General features: G+C 41.6%; 1 protein-coding gene and 1 pseudogene across 1 annotated transcript in view; both read right to left on the reverse strand.

Moving 5' to 3' along the window:
* On the reverse strand, nt 9,203-9,538 carry RPS25P9 (ribosomal protein S25 pseudogene 9; annotated as a pseudogene).
* Nucleotides 13,075-18,416, reverse strand: part of PPA1 (inorganic pyrophosphatase 1) — a 30,595-nt gene continuing 25,253 nt past the window's right edge. Inside the window, exons 9-11 of the mRNA NM_021129.4 lie at nt 16,504-16,573; nt 15,113-15,155; nt 13,075-13,426 (exon numbers count right to left, since the gene is read on the reverse strand). Of these exons, the coding sequence (NP_066952.1) occupies nt 13,395-13,426; nt 15,113-15,155; nt 16,504-16,573 (145 nt within the window). The 3' untranslated portion in view covers nt 13,075-13,394. The remainder of the gene's footprint in view (nt 13,427-15,112; nt 15,156-16,503; nt 16,574-18,416) is intronic.

Consider the following 18,416-nt stretch of genomic DNA (forward strand, 5'->3'; position numbering starts at 1 on the left):
TGAAAAAAATATTTTTTAATTTTTTTAAATAATAAAATTGTAGCCTATGAAGAACCTTGTCATTATTCACTCCCCAGTAAAATGGAAGCCCCAGGGCTTTGCATGGTGTCTACCCTGTGGCTTCAGTCTCCTTTGGCACACACTCTGTGTCCCTGTGGGGTGTAGAAATCCCAGTGTGGAAAGCCATGCACAGTGCCACGTGAAATGCCCACGCAGAACCTCTCTGTGGAATCAGGCAGTCACTAGGCTGCTGACTTTGTCACCTTGAGGAGCACAAAAAGGCAGTCCTGTTTGAAAAGCCATTCGAGAAGCAATCAGAAGGTTATTAACAGAGTTCCTGCTATGGGCAGTGCGGGACGTCAGGGGCATAAACATGACTGTGACATGGCCCCTGCTTGTGAGGAGCTGGCAGACTAGTCAGGGATATAAGTTCTGAAGTCACGATCCACTTTCATGAGGAGAGACAGAGAAGCAAGGAAATAGACTTGAATGTGCAGGAACGGGGCACAGCACCTCTGCCTGTCTCAACAGGGAAGGACAGGAGGACAGGCCCTAGGAAGAGGGCTCCGGTGCGTGGGGGCAGTGACAAGGAGCCACATGTCACATTTGAACATCCGCACTACGGTGACAAGTCTGCTTTAAGCCAGAGGAATGTTGGAGCTGGAACAGGCCTTCCAGAGTACTTGGGTCAACCTCTTCTTTTGCAGGTGTGGAACTCATGTGCTGAAGGTGATCCAGCTATTAAACCAGCATCACATGGCTTGCTGGGTGAACAACACAAAGAAGAAGAAGACTAACTCATCTCTGTGCAAGTGCCATGGGGCTAGGATCTGCATTTCCAGCCCCTAGCCTTGTGACAGACCCAAATAAGGAGCTCAGAGACCTCGGGTCACCACGCAACCTTCCCGGAGCCAAGTTCATCATAGTAACACTCAGCTCAGGGTTGCTAAGTGAATTCGACAGGTCCAAGTGGGTAAAGCCTATAGCACAGGGCCTGCATTTAGGAAGTGCTCATAATTGGGAGCTATTATTGTTGTTGCTTTTGCTGTGAGTAGATGTTTGCTGGATGATCTCACACTGATTATATTAAACCCCACTGAGAAATCTTTTGCTGATCTCTGGCATTTATTACAAGAGCAGCGGTTTCAAACATCAGAGTCCTGGTTGAAAAGTGGATTTTAGGCTGGGTGCAGTGGCTCATGCCTGTAATCCCAGAACTTTGGGAGCCTGAGGCGGGAGGATCACTTAAGGTCAGTAGTTTAAGACCAGCCTGGCCAACATGGTGAAACCCCATCTCTACTAAAAATACAAAAAATTAGCCAGGCGTGGTGGCGTGCGCATGTAGGCTCAGCTACTTGGGAGCCTGAGGTGGGAGAATCACTTGAACCTGGGAGGTGGAGGTTGCAGTGAGCTGATATCATGCCATTGCACTCCAGCCTGGGCGACAGAGTGAGATTGTCTAAAAAAAAAAGTGGATTTTAGGGCCCAGCACCTCCCAATTCTGATTCATTCGGCTTTTTTTTTTTTTTTAAACAGATAGCTCTGGTAGTTCAGGGACCACTTGGAGAAAGTCTGCCTTAGAGAGCTGGCAGCATTTATATCACTGGGTGTGCTGAACACCATTCATCAGTGTTCTCCTCCTACTTCATTGATTTTTTTTTTTAATAAAATAAGGCATACTGCATATGCTTTTAGAAAAATAATTCCAAGAGTACAGAAGCTTTTAAAGAAGAAGGAAACTCTCTGACCTTATCTATTCCTTGCTTACTCCACAGTTCCACTCCCCAGAGGTAATCATTGTTACTGTGGTTTTAGATTTCTTAACTGTGGTTTGGATTTGGATTTTCATTGTCTATGCTTATAGAAGCATATCTATTGATATACGTCTTTCCTCCAAATGCTCCCTTTGTAAAAAACACAAATAGGATCATATGATAGAGCAGGGATTGGAAAATGTTTTCTGTAAACAGACAAACAGTAAATACTTTTGGCTTTTGGGGCCATATGGTCACTGTCCTAACTACTGAACACTCCACTGTAGACGGAAGGCAGCCACAGACAATTTGCAAATGAAAAGATGTTGGCTATGTTCCAATAAAATTTTATTTACAAAACAGGCAGCAGGCTGGATTTGGCCCACAAGTCATAGTTTACCACTATAGAGTACTACAATTTTCTCTCCTCACTTATATATTTTGAACATCTTTTCCATATCAGTCCATGCAGTGATTTCACTCTTTAAGTGCTGTGGGTATGAGTAACAGATTCAGCCATTCCTCTGTGGGGCAGTTAAGTACTTTTCCAGATTTTGCTATTGCAAACAAAGCTGCTGTATACTATGTGTTTGGTTGACTGTTCTGCAGAATGAATTCCTAGAATTGCTGAGTCAAAGATTAAGTATGAATTTAAATTTTTGATAGATATTGCCAAATTGCTCTCAGACTTCAAGTTCAGATTGCCACATAACCTTGTGATTCTCATTGCTTAACCTTATTCCTGGCAAGTATTTCCTTAATTTAAAGGTTTTGTAATAATCAGGGAAAGATCTCAAAGATCGACAGAGGTAGCAATGAACTATATAGCAATTGATTCAAATTTATAACTCATAAAAACTTTTCCACCATGGCAATTTGCACAACATTCTTATTAATGCAAAAGTAAATTCCTTTCTGCCTTGAGACTCCCAGGAAGCAGTAGGAGCAGCTTTTTCTAAATGTAAAGAACGTCATGTGCAAAAGCACAAGTTAGGCCCTTGTAGAGCAAATATGCTTATCAGATTGAAAATAATTGCCATCAGAGCAGTAGCACGTGTAGGCCTGGGCTCAGTGGTGAGTGATTTGGGTTCTCATTCAGACCCTTTAAATAACCAGGCCAAGGCATCAAGTTTCCTTACCTGGGAAAAAAAAATGCATTGATCACACTAAGAGTTGCTGAGATCACAACTATAAACAACCAGGCTTCACCGAACGCCCACTATGACATGGACAGTGGGCAAGCTCCTTCACATATGTTCCTGCCAATCCTGTGACGCAGATGGGAAAACTAAAGCCCAGACATGTTAAGTACCCACTAATAATGATTGTGAAAGCAGACAAATAACATAAAGCTAGTAGGAAAATCCCTGGTCTCAAGGTCAGATGACCTGGGTCTAAGTCCTGCTTCAGCCACTTACTGACTTTGGATAAATTTAAGTGACTTTGGCTAAATTACTTAGGTTCTCTGCATCTTTTTCTTATAAAAAAAAAAAAAAAGAGGCTGGGTGTGGTAGCTCACATCTGTAAACCCTGTAAACCCAGCACTTCGAGAGGCTGAGCTGGGAAGATCACTTGAGTCCAGGAGTCTGAGGTTTGAGACCAGCCTGGGCAATATAGTAAGACCCCATCTCTACAAAACAATTTAAAATTTAGCCAGGCATGGTGGCACATGCCTGTAGTCCTAGCTATTCAGGAGGCTGAGGTGGGAGGATCGCTTGAGCCCAGGAGTTCAAGGCTGCAATGAGCTATGATTATACCACTGCACTCCAGCCTGGGCAACAGAGCAAAACCCTAACTAATAAATAAATAAGAAGAGCTTATTTCTCTCTGTGTTAAATGAGGTGTGTCAAAATACCTGGCACTCTCACAGTTATTTCCTTTACTCCATGGTAAGACTGGACTTCCTTACCACCTTGAGGTCAGGCATGGTCATTCGGCTTGCTCTAGCCAGTGAAATGTCTGTGATGTGCGTCACTTCTGGGCAGAAGCACCTAATCACCAGTGCAAGGCTCCACCACTTTCTTCCTCCGAGAGGCTGATCGACATGAGAAAGCACGTGTTAACACGGAGGCGTGATGCTAAGCTATCATAGGGGAACAGCTGCCCACAAGCAGAGCCTACTTTATGTGAGTGAGGAATCAACTTTTGTTTCCTTAAGCCATTGAGATTTGGGGGGATTGCTGTGCATAACCAAGCCCATCCTACTGTCAGGGTGACCTCATCTGTCTTGCTCAACACTATATCCCCAGTGTCTAAAACAGTGCCTGGCAAACTCAAATCTCAAGAAGTGTTCCTAAGAGGGCTGTTCCAGGAATTAAGATTTCTTTTGGCTTTAGTACCCAGATGACTTTTATCTAGCATGGATGATGAAAAAGAGAACTTTCCAAACACCCAAAGCTTCTCTTTGAGAGTTACGTGTTGTGTCCCACAAAAATTCATATTGAAGTCCTAATCCCCAGCACCTCAGAATGTGAGGTGTTTGTGACCCTCTTTTTTTTTTTTTTGAAACGGAGTCTCGCTGTTGTCACCCAGGCTGGAGTGCAATGGCGATATCTCAGCTCACTGCAAACTCCACCTCCCAGGTGCAAGCGATTCTCTTGCCTCAGTCTCCCGAGTAGCTGGGATTACGGGCGCCAGCCACATGCCCGGCTAATCTTTTTGTATTTTTAGTAGAAACAGGGTTTCACCATGTTGGTCAGGGTGGTCTCGAACTCCTGACCTCAGGTGATCTGCCCGTCTCAGCCTCCCAAAGTGCTGGGATGACAGGCATGAACCACCGCACCCAGCCTATGACCCTCTTTTGGAAAACGAATTTCTTGTCTTTAAGGATGCTGAATATAGGTCCCCAATCTCTTCTGCCTTGTAGGGTTTCTGCTGAAAAGTTCAGTTAGCCTGTTGAGGTTCCCTTTGTAGGCAACCTTCCCCTTCTCTCTAGCTGCCTTTAATATTTTTTCTTTCATGTCAACCTTGGAGAATCTGAGAACTTGGAGAATCTGAGGACTATGTGTTTTGGGGATGGTCTTGTATAGTATCTCACAAGGATTCTTTGCATTTCCTGAGTTTGAATGTTGGCCTCTCTAGGGAGGTTGGGGAAATTTTTGTAGACGATATCCTCAAATGTTTTCCAAGTTGCTTCCTTTCTCACCCTCTCTTTCAGGGATGCCAATGAGTCATAGATTTGGTCTCTTTACAAAATCTCATATTTCTCAGAGGTTGTGTTCATTCCTTTTTTTTTTTTTTTTTTTTTTTTTTTGAGATGGAGTCTCGCTCTGTTGCCCAGGCTGGAGTGCAGTGGTGTGATCTCGGCTCACTGCAACCTCCGCCTCCCGGGTTCAAGCAATTCTCCTGCTTCAGCCTCCTGAGTAGCTGGGACTACAGGCGCACACCACCACATCCAGCTAATTTTTGTATTTTTAGTAGAGATGGGGTTTCACCATGTTGGCCAGGATGGTCTTGATCTCTTGACCTCGTGATCTGCCCACCTCAGCCTCCCAAAGTGCTGGGATTACAGGTGTGAGCCACCGTGCCCCGCTGTTCATTCGTTTTTATTTTTTTCATTTTTGTCTGACTGAGTGAATTTGGAGAACCAGTCTTCAGGCTCTGAGATTCTTTCCTCAGCTTGGTCTATTCTGCTATTAATACTTGCAATTGTATTATGAAATTTTTTAAAAAAATCTTTATTTCCATAGGTTATTGGGGAAAAGGTGGTGTTTGGTTACATGAATAAGTTCTTAAGTGGTGATTTGTGAGATTTTGGTGCACCCATTGCCCGAGCAGTGTACACTGCACCCAATTTGTTGTCTTTTATCCCTCAACCCCCTCCCACTCTTTACTCCCTGAGTTCCCAAAGCCTGTTGTGTCATTCTTATGCTTTTGCATCCTCATAGCTTAGCTCCCACTTACGAGTGAGAACATACAATGTTTGGTTTGGAAAACAAATTTCTTACTCCAACAAAAATAAATCACTTATATACTACACATTACAATGACTGAGGCATTGTTTAAAAATAGAAGCACTTATAAAAGGAATAAGAATGTGACCCTTGTTTGGAAACAGTGTCATTGCAGATGTAATTAGTTAAGATAAGCTCACACCTGTAATCCCAGCACTTTGGGAGGCCGAGGTGGGTGGATCACCTGAGCCCAGGAGTTCAAGACCAGCCTGGCCAATATGATGAAACCCCGTATCTACTAAAAATTAAAAAATTAGCAGGGCATGGTGGTGGGTGCCTGTAATCCCAGCTACTTGGGAGGCTGAGACAGGAGAATCGCTTGAATCCGGGAGGCGGAGGTTGCAGTGAGCCGAGCTTGCACCACTGCACACCAGCCTGGGCCACAGAGTAAGACGCTGTCTCAAAAAATAAATAAATAAATAAAATTTTAAAAATAAAATATAATAAAATAGATAAGGTCATGCTGGAATAGGATGGACCCCTAATCCAGTATTTCTGGTGTCCTTATAAAAAAGGGAAATTTAGACACAAACAGGCACACAGTGAAATACCATGTGAAGACTGGAGTTCTGCTGCCACAATCCAGGAACCACCAGAAGGTACGAGAGGCCTGGAACAGACCCTTCCCCAGTCCCTTCAGAGGGAATACGGCCCTGTCAGCACCTTGCTCTCTGACTTCTAGCCTTCAGAACTATGAGACAATACATTTCTGTTGTTTAATGCATTGTTTGCCACTTTGTTATGGCAGCACTAGCAAACAAATACACAAGTATTATACATTTCCTTGCTTTTAACAGAGGAGTGACAGCTTTCTGCAGAGGATCTTGCACAGAACTATTGCTAATATTTCCTCCTGTACTATTCCATCCTCTTTCCTTTTCATAATATGGGTAATTCCTATCTAGGAGGCCAATACATGTGAGGTCTCTCACACTGTATAATCGTCATTAGAAAACTGACTTCTTACCCCTACAAAATTGAATCATTTTATAAATCACATATTACAATGACTGAGACATCATTTAAAAATAGAAGCACTTACAAAAGGAATAAGAAAAACATTATTTAAATCCAGGCCAGGCATGGTGGCTCATGCCTGTAATCCCAGCGCTTTGGGAGGCCAAGGCTGGCAGATCACTCAAGGTCAGGAGTTCGAGACCAGCCTGGCCAACATGGTGAAACCCCATCTATACTAAAAATGCAAAAATTAGCCGGGCGTGGTGGCAGGCACCTGTAATCCCAGCTACTCAGGAAGCTGAGGCAGGAGAATTGCTTGAACCTGGGAGGCAGAGGTTGCAGTGAGCCAAGATTGTAACACTGCACTCCAGCCTGGGTGACAGAATGAAACTCCATCTCAAAAAAAAAAAAAAAAAAAAAAAATCCAAATGTGGCGTGGGCGCGGTGGCTCACACAGTTTGGGAGGCTTAGGCAGGCAGATGGCTTAAGGCTAGGAGTTCAAGACCAGCCTGGGCCACATGGTGAAACCCCACTTCTATGCAAAATAGCTGGGGGTGGTGGCACGTGTCTGTAGTCCCAGCTTTTCAGGAGGCTGAAGCAGGAGAATTGATTGAGCTGAGGAGGTTGAGGCTGCAGTGAGCTGCAGTCATGCCACTGTACCCCAGGCCAGGTAACACAGTGAGTCTCAAAAAAAAAAAAAATTTGAATGTTGGTGACAAGATGCATAGATCTGTTTTTCCCTGCTTCTCCATGCTAAGCACACTATAAACCCTGAAAATGGTAAGAGAGACGACCAAAGAACTCTGAAAGGTGGTAAGAGGGCAAACTGGTTTGGGACCCTAGGATCAGAGGCGCAGCACACAGCAAGGCACATGCATCCTGTCACCCAGCCTCCTGACTTAGCAAAAGGCTCATTTCTCCCCTGATCAAACGGGGTTTGTTCTGGTGAGGCTGACACCACTGGCAAGGGAGATCAACTGGGAGCCCAGCCAGAATCAGGCAACCAGGGGAGGGACTCTCCTCCCTGCAAGCCCTGAGACACCTTTTCCACCAAGAGCTACAGAGGCAGGTAGGTGGGCAGGCTGAGCTGAAGGAAAGACCGAGCTATAGCAAGTGGCCTAAAGCTTCAGGAAGCTTAATTTCTGTGGCCCAAGACTCTCTCCCCAATTCAGACACTAGGGCAGCAGGGGTGGGGGACCAGTTGGGGGACGCCCCCTTCCACCACTGAAAGACAACAATGAGCCCCTTCAGGCAGCACCAGCAGGAACAAACAGGAGCCCAGTAGCACTGGATAAACCATGCAGACCAAGATAACCCTGCAAAGCTGCTGAAAATTAAACCGCCACTGGAACCACAGACCACAACTGTAGACCAAGACCCATGTGCGAAAGCTAAACAGAGTGCTGCCTGCTAAAATGAAAGATTTAAATAGGACCTACAGTCTCCCAACCTAATAGACAAAATGTCTCCAATATTATTGACGACCACCCATCATACTAAGAGCCAAGAAAATCACAATTCATATGAGAAAGGGCAATCAACAGATGCCAGCACTGAGGTGAATCCTGATAGGGATTTTAAAGCAACTGTCTTAAAAGTGCACTGTCAATTCGAAATTTGGTAGAAACAAATTAAAAAATAGAAAATCCCCGGCCAGGCATGGTGGCTCACACCTGTAATCCCAGCATTTTGGGAGGCCAAGGCGGGCAGATCACTTGAGGTTGGGAGTTCGAGACCAGCCTAACCAACGTGGAGAAACCCCGTCTCTACTAAAAATACAACATTAGCTGGGCATGGTGGCGCAAGCCTGTAATCCCAGCTACTCGAGAGGCTGAGGCAGGAGAATCACTTGAACACTGGAGGTGGAAGTTGCAGTGAGCTGATATCGCACCACTGCACTCCAGCCTGGGCAACAAGAGCAAAACTCCGTCTCTAAATAAATAAATAGAAAATCCCCCAAAATGGAAGTTAGGTGACAGAGGATAGAATCAATGAACATAAGGACATAACAGAACTCAGCCAGGTGAAAAAGAAAAAGAACAGAAGCTTCTGACCCAAGGGACAATAACAAAAGATCTAACATTCATATCAGAGTCCCAGAAATAGAGAAGAAAGTAGGACAGAAAGAGTATTTGAAGCCGGGTGTGGTGGCTCATGACTGTAATCCCAGCACTTTGGGAGGCCTAGTCGGGCTGATCACCTGAGGTCAGGAGTTCAAGACCAGCCTGGCCAACATGGCGAAACCCCATCTCTACTAAAAATACAAAGATGAGCCAGATGTGGTAGTACATGTCTGTAATCCCAGCTACTCAGGAGGCTGAGGTGGGAGGATCACTTGAACCCAGAGGACCAGGCTGCAGTGAGCCGAGATTGTGCCATTGCACTCCAGCCTGGATGACAGAGTGAGACTCTGTCTCAAAACAAAAAAAAAACAGTATTTGAAGAAGTGGCTAAAAATCCCTCAAATTTGGTGAAAGATACAAACCTACAGATCCAAGATGATGAGCAAATCTCACAGGATAAAGTACTAACACATCCATAATTACCTAAAAAGCCCCTGAAGGGCTGCCCTGGCCAAGGAACCTCAAATCTTCAGTTTCTCAGAGATCACAGCTGGGGTCATAAGCTTATAGTTGGGATCTTCCTTATAGGTTGTCATAGGTAGCTTTGTCAAACAAGACTAGGTTATTGAGCTTGTCCCGAACTTTGCCTTTGGACTACTTCTTTTCAGCCTTGGCCCCAGATCTGTTCACTGGGTCTTTTTCTTGGTTGACTTTCTGGCATCTTTCTTCTTCTTGTGGTCTTTGGGAGGCATTGCAAAGCTCAGAGTGCAGTGGCGACCTCTGCAGCTTTACTGAGATGTTGGACTAAAAGGAAGCACTGCTCAGGAAAAGGCCAGAAGTCTCCCGCCGCTGTGAGTACTTCTAGGGCAAAGGAGGCAGTGTGGATTAAAAAATAAAAATAAAAATAAAGACATCTTTATGCTGCTTATAAGAAACTCACTTCAAATTCAACATAAATAGGTTGAAAGTAAAAGAATAGAACAAAATATACCATACAAACATTAGTTATTTTTTAAAAATGCAGGAGTAGCTATATTAATATCTGATAAAGTAGACTTCAGAGCAAAGAAAATTACTAGTGACAAACAGGGACATATGTAATAACAGAAAGTTCAATCCACCAGAATATATAGGATCCTAAAATGTACTCACCAAACAACAGAGCCTCAAAATACATTAAACAAAAACTGATAGAGCTAAAAGTTCAAAGGCCTCTATGGTTATAATCAGGGAATTCAAAACCTCCATTTCAGTAATTGATAGAACTACTAGAGAGAAAATCAGCAAGGGTATAGAAGATCAGAACAATACATAAACCAACAGGATCTCACTGACATAAACAGAACACTCCACCCAACAATAACAAAACACACGCACCCATGAAACACTCTGGACAGACCATCAAACAACCTCAATAAAAGAATCAAAATGACAGCATGTTCTCTGACCACAATGGAGCCAAACTAGAAATTAGTAACAGAAACACATTAGGAGATGTCTAAACACATGACTAGAATTGATCTATAGATTTAATGCAATGCCTACTAAAATCCCAGTACGATTTTTTACAGGCATAGACAATAGACATAGCCAAAACTTATTCTAAAATACATATGAAGATGCACAGGCCCTAGTTATACAATCTTGACAAAGAAGAATAAAGTGGGAAGAATCTATTTGATTTTAAGGCTTACCATGTAACTATAGTCATCAAGAGAGTGTGGTATCGGCAGACGGTCAGACATACAGATCAATGGAATGTAACAGAGGACCCAGAAATAGGCCCACACAGATATGCTCAATGGATATTTGACAAGCGTGCAAAACAATTCAATGGAAGAATAAGCTTTCAAAAAAATGGCGTTGGAGCAACCGGACATCCATAGGAAAAAATGAACCCATACCTAAACCATAAACCTTATATAAAAATAAACACAAAATGAATCATAGGCTTAAATGTAAGCTATAAAACTTTTAGAGAAAAACACAGGAGAAAATATTGTGATCTAGGGCTAGGAAAAGTTCTAACTTGATACCTAAAGAATGACCATAAAAGGAAAATGTGGTAAGTTGGTCTTTTTAAAAATTAAAAGATTTTGCTCTGTGAAAGAGTATGTGAAAAAAATGAAAGAACAAGTTGCCAACTGGGAAAAAAATGTTTGCAAACCAAATATCTGAACTCTGAAGGACTCCAAAACTTAACATTAAAAATGAAACTAAACAATTTTAAAATGAGTAAATGACATGAACAGACATTTCACCAAACAGGATATACAGGTGGCAAACAAGCACATGAAAAGATGTTTAACATCATTAGCTATTAGAGAAATGCAAATTAAAACTACCATGAGATACTACTACACACCCAACAGAATGGCTAAAATAAAATATAGTAGGCCAGGCAGGGCAGCTCACACTTGTAATTCCAGCAGCACTTTGGAAGGCCGAGGCGGGCGGGTCACTTGAGCCCAGGAGTTCGAGACCAGCCTGGGCAACATGGTGAAACCTCATCTCTACAAAAATTAGCTGGGCATTATGGCACACAACTGTATTCCCAGCTACTTGGGAAACTGAGGCAGGAGGATTGCTTGAGCCTGGGAGGTGGAGGTTGCAGTAAGCCAAGATTGTGCCACTGCATTCCAGCCTGGGTGACAGTGAGACCCTGTCTCAAAAAAAAAAAAAAAAAGGCAAACCAAATGCTGGCAAGGATGTGGAAAAATTGAATCACTCCAACATTGCTGTTGGGAATGTAAAATGTGACCATAACTCTAGAAAATTTGGTACCTTCTAATAAAACATGCATCTATCATGTGACTCAGCAATTACACTGCTAGAGATCTGAGAGAAATGAAAATGTTTTATGTTGACGTGAAAACATGTACAAATATGTTCATTGCAGCTGTATCTGTAATAGCCAAACACTGGATCAGCCCAGATGTCCTTCAACAGGTAAAACAAAACATATCATGGAAAGTACTCAGCAATAAAAAGGAATGAATAAAAAGAATGAAACATTGATATATGTGGCAACTTGAAGGAATACCGGGGAATTACACTGAGTGAAAAGCCAATCCTGAAAGGTTACATACTGTATGATTCCATTTATATAATATTCTTGAAATGACAAAATCATAGAAAAATGGAGGACAGATTAGTGGTTGCCAGGGGTTACGGATGGTGGTGTGCAGAAGACAGGGGGGAGGTGGGTGTGATTATAAAAGGGCAACACGAGAGATCTTGTGGTGTTGAAACTGTTCAATATCTTATAGGATACATAAACTTACCTAGGTGATTACACTATAGAATTATAAATTATATAGAATACATCATACAAATATTCATTAATACAGTGAAACTAGGAAGTCTGAATATGATTGGTGGATTTGGAGTCTGTATATGATTGGTGGATTATATCAAAGTCAATGTCCTGGTTGTTATACTATAGTTTTACAAAATCTTACTTTTAGGAGAAACAGGGTAAGGTATACAGAATTATTTGAATTATCTCTGAATTACTTTTTTAGAACTACATGTGAATCTATATTCATCTCAATAAAATTTTCATTAAAAAAATCTGAATGGGCTGGGCACAGTGGCTCACACCTCTAATCCCAGCACTTTGGGAGGCTGAGGTGGGTGGATCACTTGAGGACAGGAGTTCGAGAGCAGCCCGGCCAACGTGGTGAACCCCGTCTCTACTAAAAATACCAGAATTAGTCAGGCATTGTGGTGCATGCCTGTACTCCCAGCTACTTGGGAGGCTGAGGCAGGAGAATCACTTGAACCCAGGAGGCAGAGGTTGAAGTGGGCCGAGATCACACCACTGCACTCCAGCCTGGGCGACAGTGAGACCCTGTTTCAAAAAAAAAAAAAAGAATCTGAATGCATACTACATGCCATTACATGAATAATGTCTGTTTCACAGATGAAGGAACTGAAGTTGAGTGGTTGGTAAACTGACTTAAGATTACAGAGCTAGTAAGAAGATGGGCTGGCATTCAAACTGGTTTGTTCAGCTGATAACTTAGAATATAATATAAATGACTTAAGCGTCCAATTAGTTGACTGAAGAAGTAAAAAAATAACTATTAATATATAACTTCAAAGGGTGAGCAACATTGTGCTTTCTGCTAATATGATATAAATTTAAAAACTTTTGCTTTAGAATGGTATGCTAGGACTTATGTACTAGAGCATAGTATCAAGAGTACTATAAATATAAGCGATTTCTTCGTCTAATAATTATAAATTTGAATTATAAGACTATCAACAGAAAACAAACACCAAAAAATACCCATACCTACTTAATGTTGGCTTCAGATTAAAATAAAAATATCCTAAGCCAAGTTTCAGCAAAATAATTTTATTTCCTAACATATGGTAACATATACATCCAATATGTGCTCCCCTTGCACATCTATTCACAAGTGACTTCCAAATGACAACTGCTTTGATATTTAAGCATGTGCTAAAAGTTATCTTAGTTGAGATATGAAAAATGCTTTAGATGGATAACATTCTGAGTATATTGGATTAGTCACAGCAGAATTTACTTTAGTTAGATGAGTTCTACAAATTTAAAGCTTTGAAAAGCTACTACTTTTACTTCTAATACATCCAGATGAACACGATGTAGCAATATCAGCTTGTATTCCAGAGAAATCTCATTAGTTTTTCTGGTGATGGAACCACTTATCCACTGTATTCAGAGAAAAGAAAAACAAATTAGAATTCCTGTTGAGAATCAAAAATACACCTAACATATAACAAAGACTAATATACTTGCTTTAATGAATCCTACTATGAATTACCTGAAAATTAACAGGCATACATACAAAATTTCTCTACAGCAAATGCAGGTGTTTTCTTTTGGGCTTCCTTACACTTCATGCTAATTGCATAGTGTGATTTTCAAACTTTTTTTTTTAATTTCGAGACAGGGTCTCACTCTCTTGCCCAGATTGCAGTGCAGTGGCAGCAATCATGGCTCACTGCAACCTCCATCTTCCAGGTTCAAGCAATTCTCGTGCCTCAGTCTCCCCAGCAGCTGGTATTACAGACGTGTGCCACCACATCTAGCAAATTTTTGTATTTTTTTTTTGTAGAGACATGGTTTCTCCATGTTGGCCAGGCTGGTCTCGAACTCCTGGGCTCAAGTGATCCGCCCGCCTCAGCCTCCCAAAGTGCTGGGATGACAGGTGTGAGCCACCACACCCAGCCTTCAAACTTGTTTTTTTAAGTGGCAGAATCATTTTCTTACCAGAAAAATCTTACAGAGAATTCTGACATCTAAGGAGGAGAGAACTGTTTTCTGGGTGAAGCAGCCTGTGGCCAGGTGGGAATGTGGAGATCAGCCCACTCAGGGTCCCCTCCAGTGTCCAGCGGGCACCTCCATGGAACTCAGAGGGGCACAATGGGTCATGGTTTGGAAACCACTGTGATACAGTGTGGCACTAAAGGTGGTATGTAGCAGCTCATCTTCCTTCCCACGTACACTACAGAATTCTAAAAATGCTTCTCTTCTCACCCTTCTTCCCTCTCTTCCTGTGTATGTTAAAAATATGTACGTGGCTGCGTGCAGTGGCTCACGCCTGTAATCCTAGCACTTTGGGAGGACAAGGTAGGTGGATCGCCAGCCTGGGTGACATGGCGAAACCCGGCCTGATTAGTGTTCAAGACCAGCCTGGTTCGAGACCTGGTTTGAGACCAGCTTGGGCAACATGGTGAAACTCTATCTCTACAAATTATAAAAAAATTAGACAGGTATGGTGGCACATGTCTGCAGTCCCAGCTATTTGGGAGGCTGAGATGGGAGAATCACTTTAACTTGGGGGGGTTACGGGTACAATGAGCTGTGATTGTGCCCCTGCACTCCAGCCTGGGTGACAGAGTGACAGCCTGGGTGACTCTGTGTCAAAAAACAAAAAACAAGCCAGGTACAGAAAGACAAATACCACATGATCTCATTTATATGTGCAATATAAAAAAGGTAAATTCATAGAGGTAGAGAGTAGAATGGTGGTTGCCAGGAGCTGAAGGATGGGGAAAGGGCAGGCGATGGTCAAAGGGTACCAAGTTTTAGTTAGACAAAAGGAATAAGCTTTAGTGATCTATTGCACAGGATGGTGACTGTAACATCTATTTCAAAATTGCTAAGAGTAGATTTCAAATGTTTTTACCACACAACAAATAATGATTAAGTATGTGAGGTAATGATTTCGTAATTAGCCAGATTTAATCATTCCACATTGTAAACATATATCAAAACATCACACTGTACCCATAAATATATTTAATTATCATTTGTCAACTAAAAATAAAAGTAACATAATTTTTCCATAACTGTGTAATGTTTAATGAAATTTTACTGGAATAGAAATCTTACCGTCTGTTGGTACTGTGCAGGCAGATTCACAGGGTGGTGGTAACTAAAATATAAAATATTAAAATCTATTAGTCTAATCTCATTTTTTAAAAAGCTAAAAAGGTATACTGACAAAAATTTAAGAGAATCTGAAGACTATCCCAAATTTTAGGATCTAAACGTAATTTATAATATATAGGAACAATAGAAGGTTTGCTCTACTGCTGAGATGCTAACAAATTCAAGCCTCTTGGACAGTGCAGTGGCTCATGCCCATAATCCCAACACTTCGGGAGGCTGAAGTGGGTGGATCACAAGGTCAGGAGTTCAAGACCAGCCTGGCCAAGATGGTGAAACCCCGTCTCTACTAAAAATAAAAGCTGGGCATGGTGGCGGGCACCTGTAATCCCAGCTGCTCGGGAGGCTGAGGCAGAGAACCGCTTGAACCTGGGAGGCGGAGGTTGCAGTAAGCTGAGATTGCGCCACTGCACTCCAGTCTGGGCAACAGAGCGAGACTTGTCTCAAAAAAAAAAAAAAAAATTCAAGCCTCTTGACTTTTTATGACATGCAGAATAATAAGAATGTTTTTTGAAATAATAAAAACTGATTTATGCATATATAACAATTTTATATATACACACATATTTATAAAATATGGGCAGTGTTCTCACTGAAAAATTATAATAGTTAACCACTGGCTTTTCCCTTATAATTTTTCTTATTTATCTCAACTTTGTCGGGATTCATACATAAATAAAGATAAAACTAAATGTACTGGTTTCATCATTAAATTGTCCTTTTTTCCTTGTTCTACCCCATTTACAAGGCAGTAAAAAAGTCAGACCTCATTTTCTTTTGTTTTCCTTATTTAATATTATAAATGAAAATAATTTAAGATGATCTCGTTCAATTTTTTGGTTAATCCAAACCAAATAATTAAAAATAGTACAAAAACAAAATTATTGCTTTGACGGGTGCTTTTACTACCTCACATGAAAGCCTTTCTTAGATTATGAATCATTCCTGCAATGGTACCTAAAACTTGATACCTTCCTCAGTCCTTGCTAGAACCAAGTCAAGTAAATTCCCATTGATTCTTTTGCGGAAATGGCTTATGATGGGTCATAGGCACACAGGTTACTTGGTACATTCTGGAACCATTCTGATTTTTACAAATCTTACTACCATGCTATCTGTCCAACTTATGATTGATTAGAATCACTCCCTCAGCTTCTCCCTCAGTCAAATGGCCACTTGCATGTGTTCATGGTTTCTAATTTCAAGACTCCACACAGTAACATGCATACAAAAGGCACTCAAGTATTTGTCGAAACAAGTACTTCCTCTCCCCATTTAGCATCATAGTTTTTAGCAACCAGGCTTGTTTTTTTTTTAAGGAAACTTTTACATACAGCATCCACAATGGCTCTGGCAGCATCAGGATCACACTTGAAGGGGCTCTCAGACAAAGTTGTATTCATGCTATTAAATAAAACAAAAGTAGTCATAAGACAAAATAACAAAAATTATCTCTTAAGAGTTAAAAAATGAGTTGAAAGTGGTTGACCAGGTGATATTCAAGTTTAGTTTAGTCGAAAGCTTTTTCACCTACATTTAACATTCTAATTATGTATTTTGGCAAGGCATAGCTATTCTTGTGATCAATTTTATTCAAATATCTTAACAAGTTCGGATTTAAGAAACTGAGATTGGGCTAGGTGTGGTGGCTCATGCCTGTAATTCCAGCACTTTGGGAGGCTGAGGCAGGCGGATCATGAGGTCAAGAGATCGAGACCATCCTGGCCAACACGGTGAAACCCCATCTCTACTAAAAATACAAAAATTAGCCGGGCATGGTGGCGCATGCCTGTAGTCCCAGCTACTCGGGAGGCTGAGGCAGGAGAATCGCTTGAATCTGGAAGGCGGAGATTTCAGTCAGCTGAGATCGCGCCACTGCACTCCAGCCTGGTGACAGAGCAAGACTGCGTTGCAATAAGGAGGAGAGGAGAGGAGAGGAGGGGAGGGGAGGGGAGGGGAGGGGAGGGGAGGAGAGGACGAAAGAAACTGAGATTGAATGCTTTGTAATTCTCACTGAAATAGCTAAGAAATGTGAATTGAGAAACATATCTTTCTTAATTGGAAAAAATAATGAAACAAAAAAAAACCCAGTTCCTGTAGTGTTGGTGAGACATCTGAAACAGACACTTCTGGCAGGAGTCCTGGTTCAATCTTTCTGAAAAATATTTCTGTAAAATGTATCCAAAACCTTTTAAAAAGCTCATAGGTCTTGATAGAGAAATTCCACCTCTAAGAACCCAATCCAATACTGAAACGGTAATTTACAAAGGTGTTTACCATATACTATTTCACTATTAATAGTGGTGAAAAATTGGAAGTAACCAAAATGTCCAATAATAAGAAATGATTAAAAATAGTTTATCCTTCTTTGCAGGGATTTAAAAATAAAAAGGTTTATCCATAAAACATATTATACAGAGATGGAATATTATATTATTAAAATATGATATTTCTAGACTAGGCATGGTGGCTCGCATCTGTAGTCTAAGCACTTTTGGAGGCTGAGGTGTGAGAGGATCACTTAAAGCCAGGGGGTCAAGATCAGCCTGGACAACACAGCAAGACACTGTCTCTACAACAAATTTAAAAATCATCTGGGAGTGGTGATGCGTGCCTGTAGTACCCAGCTACTTGGCAGGCTGAGACAGAAGGATCACTTCTTTGAGGTTACAGTGAGCTATTATAGTAACACTGCACTTCAGCCTGGGCGAGAGACCCTGTCTCTAAAAAAAAAATTATATCTTTTATGACATGAGGAAATGCTTATTACATAGTGTTAAATTTTAAAAATCGTAAGACAAGTCGTGTATATAATACAATCCTAATATGTTTTTTGGGTTTTTTTAGCCCACTTTAGTCTAAAATATGGATCATGTTTTAAAAATACATTTTATTTTTGTTTATCCGTAGTTCAAGTTTTCCTATATATTAGTCATTATAGTACTAATATAATATGTGCCCAATTAGAAATATTCCATCAAGGCCGGGTGTGGTGGCTCACGCCTGTAATCCCACCACTTTGGGAGGCCGAGGCGGGCAGATCATGAGTCAGAGGTTCGAGACCAGCCTGGTTAACACGGCAAAACCCCGTCTCTACTAAAAATACAAAAATTAGCCGGGCGTGGTGGCATGCGCCTGTAATCCCAGCTACTCAGGAGGCTGAGGCAGGAGAATCTCTTGAATCCGGGAAGCGGAGGTTGCAATGAGCCGAGATCATGCCATTGCACTCCAGCCTGGGCAACAAGAG

The sequence above is a fragment of the Homo sapiens genome, chromosome 10 (genome assembly GCF_000001405.40).
Source record: "Homo sapiens chromosome 10, GRCh38.p14 Primary Assembly".
NCBI classification, from domain to species: Eukaryota; Metazoa; Chordata; class Mammalia; order Primates; family Hominidae; genus Homo; species Homo sapiens.